This window comes from Homo sapiens, chromosome 3 (assembly GCF_000001405.40).
Source record: "Homo sapiens chromosome 3, GRCh38.p14 Primary Assembly".
Classification (NCBI taxonomy): Eukaryota; Metazoa; Chordata; class Mammalia; order Primates; family Hominidae; genus Homo; species Homo sapiens.
The window spans coordinates 113002383-113020645 of NC_000003.12; the positions used below are offsets into that span (position 1 = coordinate 113002383).

At 39.1% G+C, this 18263-nt stretch overlaps 1 protein-coding gene and 1 long non-coding RNA gene across 25 annotated transcripts in view, besides 2 other annotated features; one reads left to right on the plus strand and one right to left on the minus strand.

Annotated features, from left to right (window-relative positions):
- Positions 1-61: 61 nt before the first annotated feature.
- On the minus strand, positions 62-17289 carry RMP64 (ribonuclease MRP subunit p64). 12 transcript variants are annotated; one of them, NM_015412.4, is made up of 9 exons: positions 17160-17289; positions 15066-15220; positions 11571-11650; positions 10890-11021; positions 10352-10429; positions 8663-9024; positions 8261-8322; positions 5789-6048; positions 62-3622 (listed from the first exon to the last, which is right to left on the minus strand). In NM_015412.4, exons 1-9 carry the CDS (start codon positions 17263-17265, stop codon positions 3154-3156), a joined length of 1704 nt encoding a protein of 567 aa, NP_056227.2. In that variant the 5' UTR covers positions 17266-17289; the 3' UTR covers positions 62-3153. The 12 variants fall into 12 exon arrangements, 11 of the variants coding, with proteins under 11 accessions (NP_056227.2, XP_047303860.1, NP_001306041.1 ...); XM_047447904.1 differs by lacking the exon at positions 17160-17289 and adding an exon at positions 16684-17027; XM_017006102.3 differs by having other exon boundaries at positions 2535-3648.
- Positions 16738-16807: an enhancer, noted in NCBI's record as "active region_20247". NCBI's record gives its function as "activates an Ori minimal core promoter by ATAC-STARR-seq in GM12878 lymphoblastoid cells {active_cell/tissue: GM12878}" and the evidence as "EXISTENCE:reporter gene assay evidence [ECO:0000049][PMID:35858748]".
- Positions 16968-17077: a silencer, noted in NCBI's record as "silent region_14605". NCBI's record gives its function as "represses an Ori minimal core promoter by ATAC-STARR-seq in GM12878 lymphoblastoid cells {active_cell/tissue: GM12878}" and the evidence as "EXISTENCE:reporter gene assay evidence [ECO:0000049][PMID:35858748]".
- The window catches only part of NEPRO-AS1 (NEPRO antisense RNA 1), a 164860-nt gene continuing 163732 nt past the window's right edge, over positions 17136-18263 (plus strand). For all 13 annotated transcript variants that reach the window (NR_186661.1, NR_186663.1, NR_186662.1 and 10 more), the window contains exon 1: positions 17136-17324. This is a non-coding gene — a long non-coding RNA (NEPRO antisense RNA 1). The remainder of the gene's footprint in view (positions 17325-18263) is intronic.

Below are 18263 nucleotides of genomic sequence, written 5' to 3' on the forward strand. Positions count from 1 at the left end.
GCAACCTACCCCCAAAGGCTGAGAGTGCTGAGATGCCAAAGAAAGAGGCCAACAAATCCAGTTTGTCAGAAAGAAACATTTAATAGGGACTTATGCACAGAAGCCATGTCTCAGGCAGTGATCCCCACAGTTACCCCCCGACCCAGGGCTTATATGCCATAGAGAAAAGGGGGTACATGAAGGAACATGTGAGACACTGAAGTCACCTCCTCAGGGAAAGGCAAGAATGCTGTTTACAACTTAGCCTATAACTTGCTTAAGGCCAGGATTTACAGTGTGTGTGTGTGTGTGTGTTCTTTTAATAGATAAAAGTAGAAATCTTAGAGGGCATTCCAGGAACTGGTTATCAGAAGTCAACATGGTAGATTAGCATCCAAGATGGAAGTTACTTTAGCCTCATACTGTGCCTGTGAATTTCTTTGAGGAGGGGATGGGGTGGCCCCACACCTCTTCCAGGTTGTACATACCCAAGTGCTAGGCAGTTCCTGTAGCTGGTGAGAAGCCCAGGGGCAGGAAGTGAGACATCCCCAGAGCAAGAGGCAAGGTTCAGCCCTGCTTGAAACTGGTTGCCACAGCAGTGACTTTAGTATGAAGGCCAAGAGGATTGGAAGTGACACACAGGAGGTCTCAAACACTGCTCTTATAAATGGCCTGTGTGTCCTAATGCCATCAGAAGTGATAAAGTTGGTACTAGGATGTGGGTAATCCCAGCACTTTGGGAGACCAAAGTGGGTGGATCCCTTGAGTCCAGGAGTTTGAGACCAGCCTAAGCAACATGGTGAAACCCTATCTCTACACAAAGTTTTTAAAAAATTAGCCAGGGCATGGTGGTGCCTATAGTGTCAGCTACTCAGGCGGCTGAGGTGGGAGAATAGCTTGAGCCCAGGAGGTGGAGGGTGCAGTGAACTGAGATCATACCACTGTGCTCCAGCCTGGGCAACAGCACAAGACTCTGTCTCAAAAAATAATAATAATAATAATTCACTACGATGACCCTGACAATAGTTTCTAATCTCATTTACTAGGTAAGTTACAGTTTGGTATACTTTAGATTGCATTTTTTTAAATGTTAAATATTTGGATTTATTTGGAAAAAGTAACTGATACAGAATACTGAATTCCTTATAAACATACAAATTGTCATTTTGTGGACACATGTGAAGCTTTTTTGCCATTTTCCCAGAATAGTAAAGGGCAGAAGATGGGAAAATGAGAGGAGATGAAGATACTCCAAAAGAACATGAATGAATTTGGAAACAAATGCTAGACTGGCAGCCCAGTCCATGCTATATTGTCCTTAACTCACTGAACCACCCTGGTTTTTCCAATGAAAGATAAGCTCCAAAGTTTATTTCAGCTATAAAAGTTTCATTCTTGAAAAAATTCCACTTCAAATCCAGAAACCTAAGCCTGAGGAAACTGACTAGCTCAGTGAAGCCACAAGTAGGAGAAGCAAGACTGAACCTTAAATCTCCTAATTCCCAGGGAGTTTTTTTCTGAATCAGCTAAATGAAGTATTAAAAGAGGCTACTTAGGGGACTGGGTGCATGAATATAGACAACTCTCAGCAAATAAGCCCTATGGTCCACAAAGCTATACACCAGTTCTCTTACTAATTTACCTTCTATTTCCCAATAGGTAAAGGATATTCATTGAACACAAGGACACTTAGAAGTTAATGGCCATTTCTAGACTTGTCTAGAATGAAATCTCCTTGGTATTGTCTGTATTTTAAGGCACTAAATGGATACTACCACTTGGTAGAAAGCCAAAAGGAATATGAAAACTGACTACAGATTAAGAATTAAACCAGTTTACTTAAGGCTTCAGGAGAGAAGCTAAAGTAGTGTTTATATAACTGGATTTGGGGGCCACCTGGATCAAAATCACTTGGGCTCCATGTTAAAAATGCAGGTTTCTGGCCCCTGTTTATCAGTCTCTGGGAAAGGGCTAATCTGCATCTTTTAGCAACCCACCAGGTGATTCTCAAAAAGTCTAAAGTTTGAGAACCACTGGTAGAGATAACTGAGAAAATGGAGAAGGCAGACAGGGAAAGAACAAAGCCAAATAAAGAATGGAAGGGAAATAACTTCTGTTATGATAGGGTGGCTGAGGAAAAGAAGGATGCGGTACATACTAAGGTACTACTTTCTTTTTCTTTAAATCTCTATGTAACAAAAGTTAAGGGCACTAGAGAAGCTTAATAACCTAATTCTAGTAAAGTTAGAACATTGGAAAGATACCTACCTCAAACTTCACATCATTATTTGAAAATACTCAAGATGTACTCCCCTCAGAGCAACAGTACGAGCAACATCCCCTATCAGATGACAGCATCAACACCAAATTATAAATGTTCTAGCCTCATTCCTGGGTCTACTTTGTATCTCCTAACCTCATTTTTTCATTTTACTTTCTCATCTACCTGTTATCCTATTATATTTCATATGTAACCATAAACCACCTTATTGCCTTTTTGTAAAAAGGTTTATTTGGAATCAATCACTGGTACCCAAATAAATAAAATTAAAACGTTTTGGAGAACTCCAAACTCACTTTAATATGAGATAAGCCAAGCAAATGAAGAGAAATAATGGTTGTAACCAGTCCCTGGTAATACAAGCAGTGGCAAACCTTGTTGATCAATTCCAACATATAAACAAGAAAACATAAATGTCAGGAGCTACAAACTTTAGTATTCAGAGGCGGACCTATGTATAATGGAGCCAATAAGACCAAATTGACCTTTCAGGTGTTTCCTTGCTATCTCCCACCCCCGCTCCTCATTTACCTCAAGACACAATGGTTTTTGCAAACGATTATTAAATTGCCTAGTAAGTCATAAAATTATTCAGTTTTTCAGAGACTTACTAGCCTCACTCAAGGAATTACATCTGCTTCTCAAGGGTAGGCTGTGGCAGATTTTTCATATTAACACCTGACATGTAGTTGAAGCCAAAAAAGAAATACTTGTTGATGAAATGACACAATGCTACTTTAAATGTAGACTGAACTGAAATGAACTCCTGTGCAATGCTGCACTAAAGCAGCTCCTCTGTGAGTCCAGGTGGTACTTCCAGATCTTAGCAGTTCTACTTAGAACACTGAACTAGCCTTGTTAATCACTTAAAAGTCTCACATATGAACGAACATCTAAACTCCCATTAAAGCAAAAATATCATCAATGTCATCTGTCTCCTTAATGGTTCCTGATGTACTGTTTTTATTTATTTGCATCACCGTCCACGAATCAGTTTCATTTTCATGGATGCCTCTAAGATTTTCATGAATCATTTTCTCCTTAGTTTGTATGACAGGCATTGAAACTCCACTATTCAAGAGCTGCTTACTGTTAGGGTAGAGATCAGTTCTATGCACAGTACAGTGTGAGAGTCTCCACTTAGCACTGGTATCTGTAGCACTCTTCCGAGTCCCTTGAGAGAACTGCTGAATTTCCCTTAAAAGAGTCGACTGCAACTTTCTCTGTGGTTTCCTTTGTCTCCGTAAAAATTTATTCTGTGATCTTCTCTGTCTCAGATGATGCTTTGAAGTTTTGATACCTGAGCCACGAAGAAGGTGGTTGCAAATAGACGTTTTTATGCACTCTAGTTTCTTTGGCAAACTTTAAAAGACAGAGAGAGGAAAAATCTGGGCTTAAGATGAGAAAAACATTCTCAAGCACTTTTAATTTACCAACTGAAAAGAAAAATACACAACTTATCTACAAGTCCTATGCCTGTGTACAATCCCAGAACCACATCGAAAAATTTCACCCCAAGTCTGTTTTTTGAGAGCACAAATGCCCTCTGATTGAAGTGTAGACGAATGTGTCCCCATTTTGCTTTCAAACTCTCAAAAGTACAGCCGCCTAGCAATTAGCTGAATGGCGAGATACCCTATACTTTAGTGTCAGAGCTTTTCCCTCATAACTGCTAATCTGTTCATAATGTAATGAGTGGACATGAGGAAACATCACAAATGAAAAAATCTGCCAGTACGTATTAATCCGAATCTGGATAATCAGCTTCATGCTGTGGCAGGAAATGAACAAGGAAAAAGGAATAAAGGCTAAGAGGGGTTTATAAAACAATATGAAGACAGGGCTTCTGGCCCAGATACACAGACAGCCTTAAGCTACCCTAATTATGATTCATATGTCATCTTCAAGTTTGGAAATTCAGAAATCAAACAGCTGATCATTTTAGGTGTTTTGCTTCCACACACGGTACACTGCCACAAGGTTCATCAGTGCCTTGCTGAATTGTTTCACTGTTTGTGATAGATTTTAAAAGACGGGCATGGATATAAAACTTTGAGGAAGCCCATTATAATAAAGTAAATCATGATCTTTGCTTCCATACCATTTTCTTATCTCACTATAAGCAGTGGCTTTTAAGTGGGGAGAAGGTGGGTGTACTTCAGAGTTGAAAGGAAAACAGAGGGCCTGAACTGAGTTCCACATCTAACCCCTTGAGCAAAATCCTCCATTTACCCATCTATGAAATGGGAATAATACTGTCTACCTCACAATGTTATTATGGACATTAAATAAATTATAAAGTTTACTACAAATATATTAATGAAACAGCAAAACAGGGCAATCTATGAAGGAGCACTATATCTGGGGGAGTACTGAGTAATGGTTTAACCAATAAACACCAGTTTGCTACCCTTCTCATTAACTTTTAGTTGTTACCTCTGCCTCATCTACCCTTGATTTTAAACCCAATTTTAAACAGAATGCTTCTCTCCATCTCAGGCTGCGTCTCCAGCCATAGGATACATCACTTTTAGATTATTACAGACCTTTAGAGGAGCCATCTCAATGTAAAAACCCCTCAAGCACTTTATCCCTCAGGAATATTCAACCACTTTCCCCATAGCTTTTAATCAAAATGTGTTACAAAACCCTCACTGTATACTTTTTTTTTTCTAAAACAGGAATATATTTTATGCAAATTTTAAAAGAAAATTTAACAAATTTTCAATACGTGGTTCATCCCCAGGAATGAACTTTAAATCCCTGAATAGCTCTAAACTATGGATAAGAAATTATGGGGCATGCACAGGATATTTGTTAAAGAATACAATAAAAAACAGGTCAGAATAATTGCCTCTGTGAAGGTGGAATAGGCTCTTAATACATATTTGTGTCTGAAATCATTACCGTTAAGCCCTGAAGTGTCTAATGTCTAAATTCATGTAATACTTCATGCAATACTGGTTCACAAGCAAAGATAAGCACCCTTAAACAGTTGTGAATATAAAAATCACAGAAAAGAAATATAGATAGAGTCCAGCTGCTACAAACAGTAGCAAGTAGCAACAGTACAACACCCCAGCAGTCTTGTGTGGGCCTCATGGAAGGCAGGCACCTTCTGCTTCTGCTCTCATGCCCTTATCCCACTGCACTGCACTGAAGCTGTCTGCAGAAGGGCTGCCTTTCCCAGAAGACCCTGAGCTCCCTGAAGACCAAGTCACGTCTTTATGCAGTTGTATCCTCAGGCTCAGCACACTAGACACTCTTAATGGTTCCTGAATGAGCTGATGGAAATGATGAAGAGCATAACGGGGACTGAAGTCCAATTAACTTGTTTATCTTCTTCCTCCAATGATACAGCTTTGCTCTTACAATAAAAGCAGCAAATGCAATTGCAGTTTGAGTACATCCCAATTTAGCCCCGCTGCGGCTGCTGGACATCACATTTTAAAGAAAAGTGACCTGAATACTTTTACTCATAACAACAACAGAAAAAGTAAAGTAACATAATTTTTGCAATATACCTACCTAGTACCTTGAGCTTCCAGATGTTTAAGCCGGTTGCTTTTAAGAAGTTTGTTACCCAGAAAAATGGCCTGAGCCTTGAGTTTTTTGCTCCTGCACCATACAACTGCCATCTGGATTTCTTCAGAAAGTTGTGTGAAGGACTCAGCCTCTCGGAATCTTTGCACAAAACTTTTGGCATGAGGAGTTCCTATCACTTTCTGAGAAGAATACTTGGTTGTCTTTAGTCTGGATTGAGAACATTTAAAATCAAAACTGGTCTCCTGAAACGTGGAAAGATGAGAAAAATATATTGGACATGTTACTGACTTGTAATTATATGACAACAAGGAAAGCTAGCTCACAATCAAAATTTAAAAATTAGAATTATCAGTCCCTAAATGCTTGAAGTGATGGATACCCCATTTACCCTGTGGTTATTATGCACTATATGCTTATAACAAAATACGTACCCCATAAATATATATACCTGCTACGTACCCACAAAACCTAAAAATTAAAAAAAAAAAATCAGTCTGTAAGGAAATTTTTTTGCTCACTAAGCTTTCCTTATGTCTTTAAAAACTGAATTTTTCTCCACTGCTCCAAATACAAGTTGTTTTGTTCCCCCTCTGTACCAGGACAGGTCCCATCTGCAGCTGAATTAGATTGACATAGGAAAGTTAACATAAATATCCTAACACACATATCTCACATACACAATAAAAAAACCCCACATGATTAAATACTGGTCAAAGCCTAATTGCAGAGGGTTGGGGGATCACTGAAAGGCCCCTCTTCGCTACACCACCAGATTATCACGACTTGTTTTTCACTTATTTCCGTATCCTGGGCAAACCTCCTCAATTTAGAAATGTTTCTGAAAACAGGGAAGATATGGGGCCCTGCAGAGTGCCCAGCAGAATAAGCCCATTAATCAGTTAATGCCTGCTGAATATCTATTAAAAATGCTCAATTGAGCAACACTTCCAATTCTACTTCAACCATCTTCTGACAAGGCACCTTTACTTCTTCAACCCCTTCTTTCTATATCAAGTCACATTTGGATTTTACTAACGTTTACTATTTCTTTATGAAAATATGCTGCCTACGAGATGATCTGCTCTTTCATTCAAAGCTTACCTTCTTCCAAATTTCTTACACTCAAAAGGAACTTTAAAAAAAAGTAGAAAATATAAAAGTAATGACCCAGGTCAATAGTTTATGTTTGGTGATCAATAGAAGTAGTTTGCTTTAAAGCTAAGCAAGTTAGTGCTATTTGCTAAAAATATAGTAGCAGTTAGTTTTGAGTAAGAGGGATGCTGACCCACCAACTTCAAAGCCAGCTCACCTACAAACAGGTGCACAGGCTGCAGAAGTTTCAAGGTTCACAAAGCACCATAGTTCTTGAGATACAGTTGAAAAACTGTTCTGGGGACTGGTGAATAGTAAAGAAGAAAGACTATGAAACCATACTGCCTGCATTCAAATCGCAGCTCTACCATTTATTCACTATGTGGCCTGGCAGTTTCTTGGCCTTTCTATGCCTCAGTTTCCTCATCTGAAATATGAAAACAGTAATAAGCATGCCCACCTCACAGAGCTTTTGTGATATAATTACATGACTTCATGCATATAAAAGCACTTAGAACAATGCCTGGCACAGAAAGTATTACTCCTCACTCTGAATTCATAAATTGGACAGAACATCAATGGAAGCTGGAGTCCTTAAGTTCAAGAAAATATGTTTAAGAATTCTTAAATAAAAGAAGTAAACTAACCCATGAAAAATACCAGAAGTAGACATTTTGCAAAGACAGGGTTAAAAAAAAAAAAAAGTCAAGTTACTGAGTAAAACAGTAATGCCGATGTACTTATATGCTGTTAGGTCCAGAACAAACAGAATTTACAGACATTAATCAATCATGTTAAAACTTGAACCTCAACAGGAGTAAAGGAATAGCTTCATGACAAAATGATGAGGATGATGACCAAAATGACCGTAGCTAATAACATCTAACTCCAATTAAATGCTTACCATACTCCAGACTACCGAACGCTTTACATGCATTAAAACTAGCACAACCCTATGAGGCACATATTACTATTACAAAATAGAGGTACGGAGAGATCAGGAAACTCACAGAAGGTCACACAGCTAGTACCAAAGCCAGGATTCAAACCAACTGTCTGACTGCAAAGCCTATACTCTTAAGCTGCAGTACAATCCATACTTAACAACAGATCTTACGGTTACTTTAAAATTCTAGAGAAACTCCTACTAAAATATTTCTGAAGGTACTCTATTAACTGAATTAACTAGATGTATTAAAAATCCCTTGCCTCTATTCATTCAGAAGCACACACTGACAACTAAGAAGGCACTAAGCTTAGAGCTGGGGATAAAATGAAAAGATTCAATCTCTGCCCTTGGTAAGAAGCATCCTCTACAAATTAGCAGAAATCATAAGCTAAATTTAATGAAGCCAGACAAACCTGAGTAGCTTTGTGTTTCAGCTGGTTGCAGAAAGCCCTCACATCAAATTCTGATGACTCTTCTGTGGAGGTGGAAAAATTGCAGATACAAAACCTTAGGCATACTATTTTCAAATCTACAACAAATTCTTAAGTGCATGACATTTCTTGCCAAATTACCACAAAATAAAGGAATAAAGCAAGCAAATAACTAGGAAGCAACTACAGAAACAAATAAACAACTTAAAGTACTCAAGCTTAGAAAGCACAGGTATTACCATACCTCTCTAATCAATATGAGTCAAAATTAAGATGTGAGATGTTGAATTTCTTTCTATGCAATGCATGACTATTACTTTCAAAAGGTTTCTTTTTATTTGTTTTTTGTTTTACTAGAGTATGTGCTGTATCAAAGCAAATTACCTTTGAAGACTCTCTTATTCTTTACTGGCTGTCCAAGATCCACATTATTCTGTACATTGATCTTCATTTGTTTAGCTTTTTTTGAAATTCCAAGCAAGGTTTCTTCACTGGCTCTTGGTGACTGCTCATTTATTAAAAACAGTTTATTTAGCAATTTATTTATTCCTTTAGCTGCAAAAGCTATAGGCATTTTTTTCTTAAAGGCTTCAAAATATGGCTGTCCTAAAAATTCAGTGATATCAGAAGGAAAGGTAAAATCTTTGAAGTAAGGCATTGGTTGAATCCTAGCGACCTCTTGAAGCAATCCAAACAAAGGCTCATATAACAAAATCAACCTTTTTAAGACACCTTTATAGAGAACCCTAGAGAAAGAAATAGGAGCTCATTAATTAGCCAGTAATTACAATTTGCAGATTACATAATAAACTGCAAGATTGAAAGCTGAAAATAAATGGCTATCAAGGTCCTCCAGTACAGATAAAAAACACTATAGTGCACACTTGCGAACAGCCAGATTAGTCCAACCCAACAGAAAAATCCAAGTATAAAATGTTACTCAAAAAACTGTAAGACAGTCTACCAGGAAAGATATATATATATTCAAAAAGTACTACATGGAGAAATGTACAAAAGGATGCATATCAAAGTTTTAAGTGTGGTAGATGGTGAGATTTTAGGCAAATTTCAGGTTCTTCACATTTCTCTTTTTAAATTTCTTAAAACAGGCATGTATTATAATCAGCAAAAATTAAAGCTATTTTCATTACAGAAGAGAGTATCAAAGGTTTAGCATTTTAAAATAATATGATTAGTAATCAAACATTGTTACCTCTGATTAAGAATAAGTAGAATAAAAAATAAAACAATAGGAAATACTATTTGAGATATCCAGGTTAAGATATCAAAGCAAGGTTTTCAATCTCTAAACACAGAAACTTTTTTTCTTTTCTCCATCCAATGTTTTCTTACATTCATATTAGAACTAATAATCTTAATTGTTTGAAATGGCCCAAAACAGGCCTTCTTACAGATACGGGCAAATTCTAATTATCCATCAGATCAGTTTCACAATATGTACTGAGAGACATGAAAGAGATGTCTCTTTAGTTTCCAAGTATTACCAGCATACATCAACTAAATATGCTCAAAAAAGCAGTGGTGTTTGAGATGGAAGAAAATAGTCTAGCACATAAGAAGGTCAAAAATTGCATTTATCATTGCCATTAAAAATTAGAAACCGAGTGACAGAAAGAATCAAGTGATACAGCCAGCCCAGGATTAGCATCATTTTAAACGGCCTGTTGCAATATGACTACTACCAACAATTTTTTATTACTGCAATTCCCAGTCACAGGCATTAATTTTTTTAATGTTCAGTAAAAGCCCACTGATGTTTCACTACAACCTACCATGACCCAGATTTCAGTGTGACACCAGTCACTCCCGATTTTTTTAGTTGTTCAGTGATTGGGCTGATCTTGTGGATTGAGATACAAAGCCTACTCCTTTGATACAGCCATCAGCACTCGGCTTCCCAATCTACCCTCAAAAAACTCTGATCAAACCAAGAAAGAGAATACCTGCACCTTCCATAACCCCATAAGAAAATAAGTTTGAAAACTACTAATAAGAAACCTAGGCTGAAAGGAGATGAGAAAGAAATGAAGGATGTCAGAGGTATGTACATACCATAACCTGCTCACCAGCCCAACCATCACAAGGTTTAAAATAATGAACTCTTGCAAACCTAGATGTTTCACAGTCAAACTGGAAAATCAATTTAAGGTAGAAAACAAAATCAAAGTAATGTGGGTTTTGTAAGTTACAATCATGAATGAAGAAATATATTGGAAGTAAAGAGAATTTTCTTAAAGGTATTAAAGCCTTAAAACACATTCTATTTAAGAATTTAAAACTTTAAAATATGGTTATAAACACTCTGCTAGAGTTCCCATTATTAAATTTAGTTCTTAAAGTTTAGTTTCTAAGATTAAGAATTTCTAGCTATCAATGCTCTTAGGATAATACGTGCTGAACAGTGACAGGCAGTCTCTGGCAATGGCTGCATCAGGCAATTCCTGAGAAAAGGAGGCCAAGAAGCAAAAGTTTAAGAATTCCTGTAGGTTGTAACTCCTATGGAGTGTTAGCTTTCAAACAAAAATACTGTTAAAAATATCCAAACAATTCCAAATCAAAAGAAGGTATATTTCAAGATATTCAAGGATACAGAAAAGTTTTGCAGCAGCAGTCCAACAAGCGGAGCAACAACTTGCAGGCTCCCAAAACCTTCATCAACACCAACTCCACCACTGGCTGACTGGGGACAACACATACTTTGGTAGTTAAGGGCTGATTTTCACTTGAAAAAAATAGAAAAAGTACATTACTTTCACTTAAAAAAAAAGGGTTTTTTTTTTGTTTTTTTTTTTTTTACATTTACCAGTTTATTATAAAGGATATGACAAAGGATTGAAACAAAGAGATGCATAGGGCAAGGTATGGCAGAAGAAGCACAGAGCTTCCATGTCCTCCCTGGGCGACCCTTCACATTTTCAGCTATGTGCAAGCTCCCATTACTTTCATTTTTAAATATAAAGCATTTCTATAGCAGTTTTCAAGTGAAGACTTGCTTTAAGCTCAACTTGAGGTAGTTAAGCACAATAACAGCCCACTGATGTTTTAATATAATCTACCATGACCCAGATTTCAATGTCACACCAGTCACTCCCATAGATCAATGTCAGAAGATTACCACAAACACCAGGTACCCCACATTAAAACAAAATTTATACAGCTGAGGTATAATTGGTTATATTCCAACAGCAAGCATAGAGAAATCCAAAGGGAGATCACAAGACATTGAGTTCCCAGCCCACCACATCACAAAGCAACTGGACCACTTACTTACTTGGAAGAAAACAACTCAAACAGGTCTTGAATTGAGCCCTCCAAATTCATGTTTTTCAAACGCTTTAAACATTGCTCAACCTGAAAGAAGAAGAGCAGTTCAAATTCATGTGTATGTAATGCAGACAGGGTCACTGATTATGACCAGGAAAGCAAAGACTTCTAGATTTTCAAAGTATGGAAATATGCTAAATATCACAGAATACCTTATTTTTTTTCAGGGTAGAGAAATCCAAAGCGCAAGCAATTGCTTCTAGTTACAAATTTGGAATTTATCCAGCCAAACACATTTTTAAAATCAGGTGACTCCTAAGAAATTAGTATATGCCACAATGAGCTTGATGTCATAAAAGGGACCAAAACGAGTATAGGTTATTCTCAAGATTATAATTTTGCTAAGACAAGATTTTTTTTTTTTTTTTCAGATGGAGTCTCACTCTGTCGCCCAGGCTGCAGTGCAGTGGCGTGATCTCGGCTCACTGCAAGCTCCACCTCCTGGGTTCACACCATTCTCCTGCCTCAGCCTTCCAAGCAGCTGGGACTACAGGCACCCGCCACCACGCCAGGCTAATTTTTTGTATTTTTAGTAGAGACGGGGTTTCACCGTGTTTGCCAGGATGGTCTCGATCTGGACCTTGTGATCCGCCCACCTCGGCCTCCCAAAGTGCTGGGATTACAGGCATGAGCCACCGCGCCTGGCCGACAACATGATTTTTAATAGTGAAACTATTAAAACAAGATAGAAAATTATTAACTACTAAATTTCAACAGTCTATAAAGTACCACAGAGATGAGGAAAACGATTGGCTTTAATCACTGAACAAATATATTCTTTGATTAGATGAAGCTTGTTCTTATGTTCCTCTGCATCTTCTCTCTTTCTCCCTTCTCTCTCTTGGGTTTTTTTTCTCTTTTGAACCGCAGTTCACTTACTATGTTTTCCAAGTGCTTTACCATCTGGGTTTGTCAATACCTCCCTCAAAGGATGGTGTCCAGACTTGAAAACTGAAAAAGATAGGAGCTGACCCTAAAGAATTTAAGGATTGTTCCCTCCATTATTCTTGAAAACCGCTGTTAAAACAGAATCCATAACCTTGGTTCAATTTCTAGAAGTATATTTGCAGCTCTGGCAAGATACTCTTGTTGCCAGTATCAATGCCCATCCAAATTTTTGTATCTGTCTAGATGCAGTCCCATGCTGCCCTTTGTGTGTTATTCCTGAGGACTACAGAATTCCTACAGCATTTTGTACCATGCATGGCTCTTACTTTTTTTAAAAAAAATTAAAAATCCTATTGAGTGCTTACTGAACACTGTTCTAAGAACTGGATTATGGTGGTAAACAAAAGGGACAAAATACATTGCCCTTGTGGAGCTTACATTATAGCTGGGAGAGAAAGGCAGTCAATCAATGGCAGGTGGTGTTAAGTGCTATGAAGACAAATAAGGCAGAGAGGGAGTGCTGAGAAGATTGCAATTTTAAATAGGGTCTGTTTTTATTTTAGCATTTAATTAAATATTTTACATGTCTTCCTATTTTTACTACTAGATTTTTAGCAACTAGAGATAGGGAAGTTTCTAATACCACTTTATCTGCCAGCATGCCCTACATGTACTCCACAGAACAGGAATCAAAACTACTTTCTGTGTTCCATTTAGGGGAATGTTTAGAGACAGGCCAATTCTAGTACTTACATGAAAGTTCTCTGAAAACTGTGAAATATTAAGCAGTTGTAAGGCAGTAGTAGAAGTGGTAATAGCAGCTGCAGCAGTAACATAAGCATAAAACATGTTTCCTACTTCAGGGATCACATGGAATATAAAATATATACACAAATAACTTTACCATGACACAGACTATATTAAATGCTATAAGTACAAAGAGGAGGCCCAAATAGCCAAGAATTTAAAAAAAAAAAAAAAAAAGCAACTTCAGTAATAATCAGAAAAATACAACTTAAAATGAGATTACTATAACACAGATTATCACTGCCAGAAAGGCTTAAAATGGGACTTAGAGGATAGGAAGGCCTTTAACAGGCAGACATGGTGAGGCTGGGCATTCTAAACATACAGGACCAGGTAAGCAGACTCAGAAGCAGGAACAAACATAGTGAGCATGCAGGTGTGTTGAGTCCAGGTTGGCTGGAATATAATCTATCTGAACGCAAGAGAGAAGCCCGAACTAAGAAGACTGAAGAGGCCAGATCACAGATCTCGTAAGCCAAACTAAGAAGTTTGGTCTTTACTCAGGACACAATGGAGAACGACTAAAAATCAAAGTTGTGTTTTCAGATGATTAACCTGGTTTTAATATTTAGAATATGCCAGAACTTAGGAAAAGCTGAAGGAGGAAACATCAGTTATGATAGTAAGACAACTAAAAGTTGACAAGGTCTAAGAAAGGAAAATGGCAGCCAGAACTGAAGAGGGGACCAGATGCAGAGGAAGTTTTGTCTTATGGACTGCCTGGATGGGAGAGCTACGTAAGAGAGAGAGACTAGAGAATGCCAAATTTTGATGACGGGGTGATTATTCACAACCCAGAAGCTAGAAGGAGAAATATATTCACTTTGAGGGTTAGCAAGCTTGCTTTTGGATCAAAAAGACTCCGAAAAAGATAAAAGCCACCCTAGAATGGAAAATTTAGGGAAAGACCATGGTCCCAGATCTTTCTTTGATGAAATCTTCACCCTGTTTGCTTTAAGTACTAGGGGTAGAAAACTAACCAGAAAGCATGCATCTATAAGGTTAGAGACTGTGTCTACCTTTTTCACTCCTCTATACACAGCACTAAGCAGAATGCCTGGCACACAGAAAGTTCAAAAACACTTGCAAGGTAGCCCTGTCACACAATGGATAGCCTTCTGAACTTCCAGAAAATACTTGCAGAATTAAGTGAATGAATGAATGAGCATATCAGGAAGCCAGCTTAAGAGAGGCTCTACTCTATGGTATAGCCCCTGAGCTGGAGGGCCCAATTTTGTCTTAAGCTCCAAACATTACATGAAACCAGTTTACACCACAACTTGCTATGTACCCATTTACTCTAACATACCACCAATTAGATTATGTACCCCATAATAAGTAGACAAGTTTTTTTAAAAATAATTTTAGCATTCTGATTATGCCCAGGGAACTGTTTCTTAATGTCCAACATTTTGTCTTGCTCAAATCACTTTATCTTTGAGCTGGGCAAAGGCACTGTTGTTATAGATTGTATATAATGAAGAAAATGTTTACTTGCCTATTAGAAACAAGACTGGGAAAGAATCTAAACATACTTCTTTTCTAACAAAAATTACTTTTTGAAATGCTGAAATGCTTTTAGGAAAAAAAAAGAAAGTGCACATGTAACTGTGGGCTATAGGCCTATAAAACACAAGTAATTTACTGAGATTTCCACGAGATTTCCATAAATAGCAATATAGTAAGTGGCAGTGTGATCTACATTTTCAAGTGAACAGGTTGGGTCTCACCTACCGGGCTTCCTCACCTGTTTGAGGGCCAAATGGGGTTTGTGGCGGCCCATTCTGTTGTGATTGCTGTAAAGGACTGCACATAACACATCTGTTTCTGCATCTAAGGTTTGGCTCTTCAGCGACAGTATGACGAGATGGCATTCTTTAATTACAGCTGCAATGCAAAGGTCTGAAGCAGAGACATCTAATAAGATTTAGTATGTATTTCTACAGTAAGTATATTATATTAAAAACACACTAAAAAAAGCATCTTTCCTTATTTGTTTTAAAGGAATCAAAAACTAATGTAATCAGTCTCAACTGTAAGAACGTAAGGATTCTAAGTATAAGAGAAGTTGGAAAATGGTAACAGATGATATAAAGTCCAGGAAATCATTAAGAGAACATCTGTAAAACAAGAAGCTGTATCTTTGCATTGCATTTTATCATGGTTTAATAATCTTTCATATGAATACTTTGCTGTCAGTCATTTGGTGTACACTTACGCCTCATGTGTACACTTAACCCCCACCTTGAAGGTAGGGCACATGTCACAACATGTGTAATAACTCTCTAACTCCCCATGTCGCTATGCCCGAAAGCAAGACAGAATGAATAAATTCACAGTCTTCAAAATCAAGGCTTCTGTGTTTGGATATCACTTTATGAGAGACACAAACATATTCAGAAAAGAAAAACCACCACAGTAACTGGAAATCGTATTATTTGATGAACACCGGGTGCTCATCAGCAGATGCTTCCTAGTCTGAAAATCTGTAGAAGTCCCTAAGATGTAGTTCATGTGTTATTTATGGCTCTAAAGGCAGCACTAGCATTCTAAATGGAAGTAAAGGCTGGTTGCTACCTAACAAGAATTTTCTTACTGTCCCAACAACTACCTGAAGACAGAATGGGCTGCCTCGGGGATGGGTAGTGAGTTGGTGAATTTCCCAGGCCTAATAGGAGTTGTTAAAGAATTTTTGAATAGAGAAAGAGGGAAGATTAATCTGTAAAGTGTGTAGGAAGGATAGATGGGATAATCTGTAAAGTGTGTAGGATGGATATATGGGAAAGGGGATGTGATGATCTAAGTCAAGCTTGTCCAACCCGCCTTATTTTGTTGTTCTGTTCTGTTTTGTTTTAGGCTTTTTGCAGCTTAAAGCCATGGTTTTTAGTTTGTCTCTAGTGAAAAGAGGGATGAGGAAAGGGCTTTACCAGCCCAACCGGAAACAAAGAACCCATGACTGTATTCTCTCCCTTGGGCCCCGGAGCTACGTATTTAATATTCATAACAGCTTCCATTTGAGTGTTCATTTACCATGCCAGGCAGTGTTCCAAATGCTTTCTCTACATTATCAACTCTTTCATCCCCCCAAACAGCCCTATGAGGAAGGTGCTTTTATCTCCATTTGAAAGTGAGATCAGTGAGGCACAGAAAGGTTCAATGACTCCTTCAAGCTCCAGCAAAGGGTAGAGCTAGTATTCAAACCCAAACAACCTGGCTCCTGCGCCAGGCTCCTACCTACTATATGCCCTTCACCCTAACAAATACCACCCATTTAGGTGGCAAAACACCGTCGTTTACAGCGCACTGTCTCCTAAATTACATCATTAGATATTCCCAACGCCCCTGTGAGGAGTAGGAGGACTAACTCCATTTCACAGATAAGCAGATAGAGGTCCGAAAAGATTGCAGTTTGAGTCCCAGTGCTTAGGTGACGTCCACCGCTCCTCGGGTACAGGAAAAAGAAGGAAAGGGGAAATGGACGGAAGGGTAAACAAGACTCCGAAGACCCGGGTGAGCAAGGGTTCCCAGGCAGCACTGTTCCCCGGCACCAGCTGAGTCCACCTCTCTCCGCCCCCTCAGCGCACGGCTGAGCCTTGGTCTTTCATCTCTCCAGCCAAGCCCTGGGTTAGCACAGCTGGTTCAATGAAGGAATGCGAAGCCAGAGGCCCTACAAGCTACACCAGCAAAGTGCTGGGACCGCTCGACCCCTACGTGCCCCGCGCCCCTTCCCAGCGTCCCCCGGGCCGGGAAGTCCCGGTACCACCCCCGCCCACATGCGCCGGCTGGGCCTGGCGGCCTCCCCCGGAAACGTTCCCCCATCCTCGCCCGGCGCCTCACTCACCAAGGGCCGCGCCGGGGTTCTGCACTGTCACTGCGCTGCGGTTCCCCGCCTTAGGGATTCTCACACGGTTCCACGGCTCCAGGCCCGGCGGCACCGCAGCCATCATGCGAGGCGGGGGGACTTACGAAAGGCGGAGCTACGCGAGAGCACGTCCAGCGACCGGAGGTGGGGCGATGGGACCCAGTCCGGGCCGGAAGGGAGCAGGGGGTGGGGCTCGGGCGGGGCCAGGAGCCCGGCGGGAGGCTGCCTTCATCGAGTAAACGCGTGGGACTGGGAAGGACCCAGTCATCTGTATATTGGTTACCAACACGTGGCCGCGTAGAATCATGGGGGAAAAAAGGCCCCATCCCAATACTAACCAACAGAATCTCTGAGAATGCGATGAGGAATCTGCGTTTTGTTTAAACTTAGCGCAGGGGATTCGGAAGCACAACCAAGTTTGGAACTGTTAAATACTTCTAGGCATTTTACAAATATGGAAAATGAGGCCCAGAATTGAGTTGGTGCTTTTACCCCCAACTCTGCCTCAGACATTAGGGGAAAAAGGAAGAAATGAAATGAAGAGGTTTGTGCAAGGTGTGGAATTTGTAGCGAAGAAGCAGTGATTTGCTTTGAGTGGTAAAGGAAGGCTCCTTTATGTCTTGAACCACAGCAAAACCGAGATCACATCAAAGAAACTTGGAAGACACCTGTCAGTCATTCCCACTTTTGTCAGTCTCCAAGACAAGATCATATTCCAAGCTCTAGTGATCCTTACCTCATTAATATCTTTCTAATAATTCATTTATCCTCAGCCATGCTAATGCCCCCTTAAGTTCTTAACACTCCCACAGTAACGTATTAGAAAAACAGTGAGTTTTGGAAACAGACTGCCAAGGTTCTAGTTCTAGCTTTGCTGTTTACTAGCTCGGTGATCTCAGGAAATTTACTTACCTCCTCCTCCAGACCTTAGTATCCCTGTGGGTAAAATGAAGATGATAATAATAGTATCAATCTCACAGACTTGTAAAATGCCAAGGCACTCCTGGCATACAAACAATGAACATTTACCATAGTTAATATTGTTGATGTTATTACTACTATTTCATGCAAGCAGTCTTACTT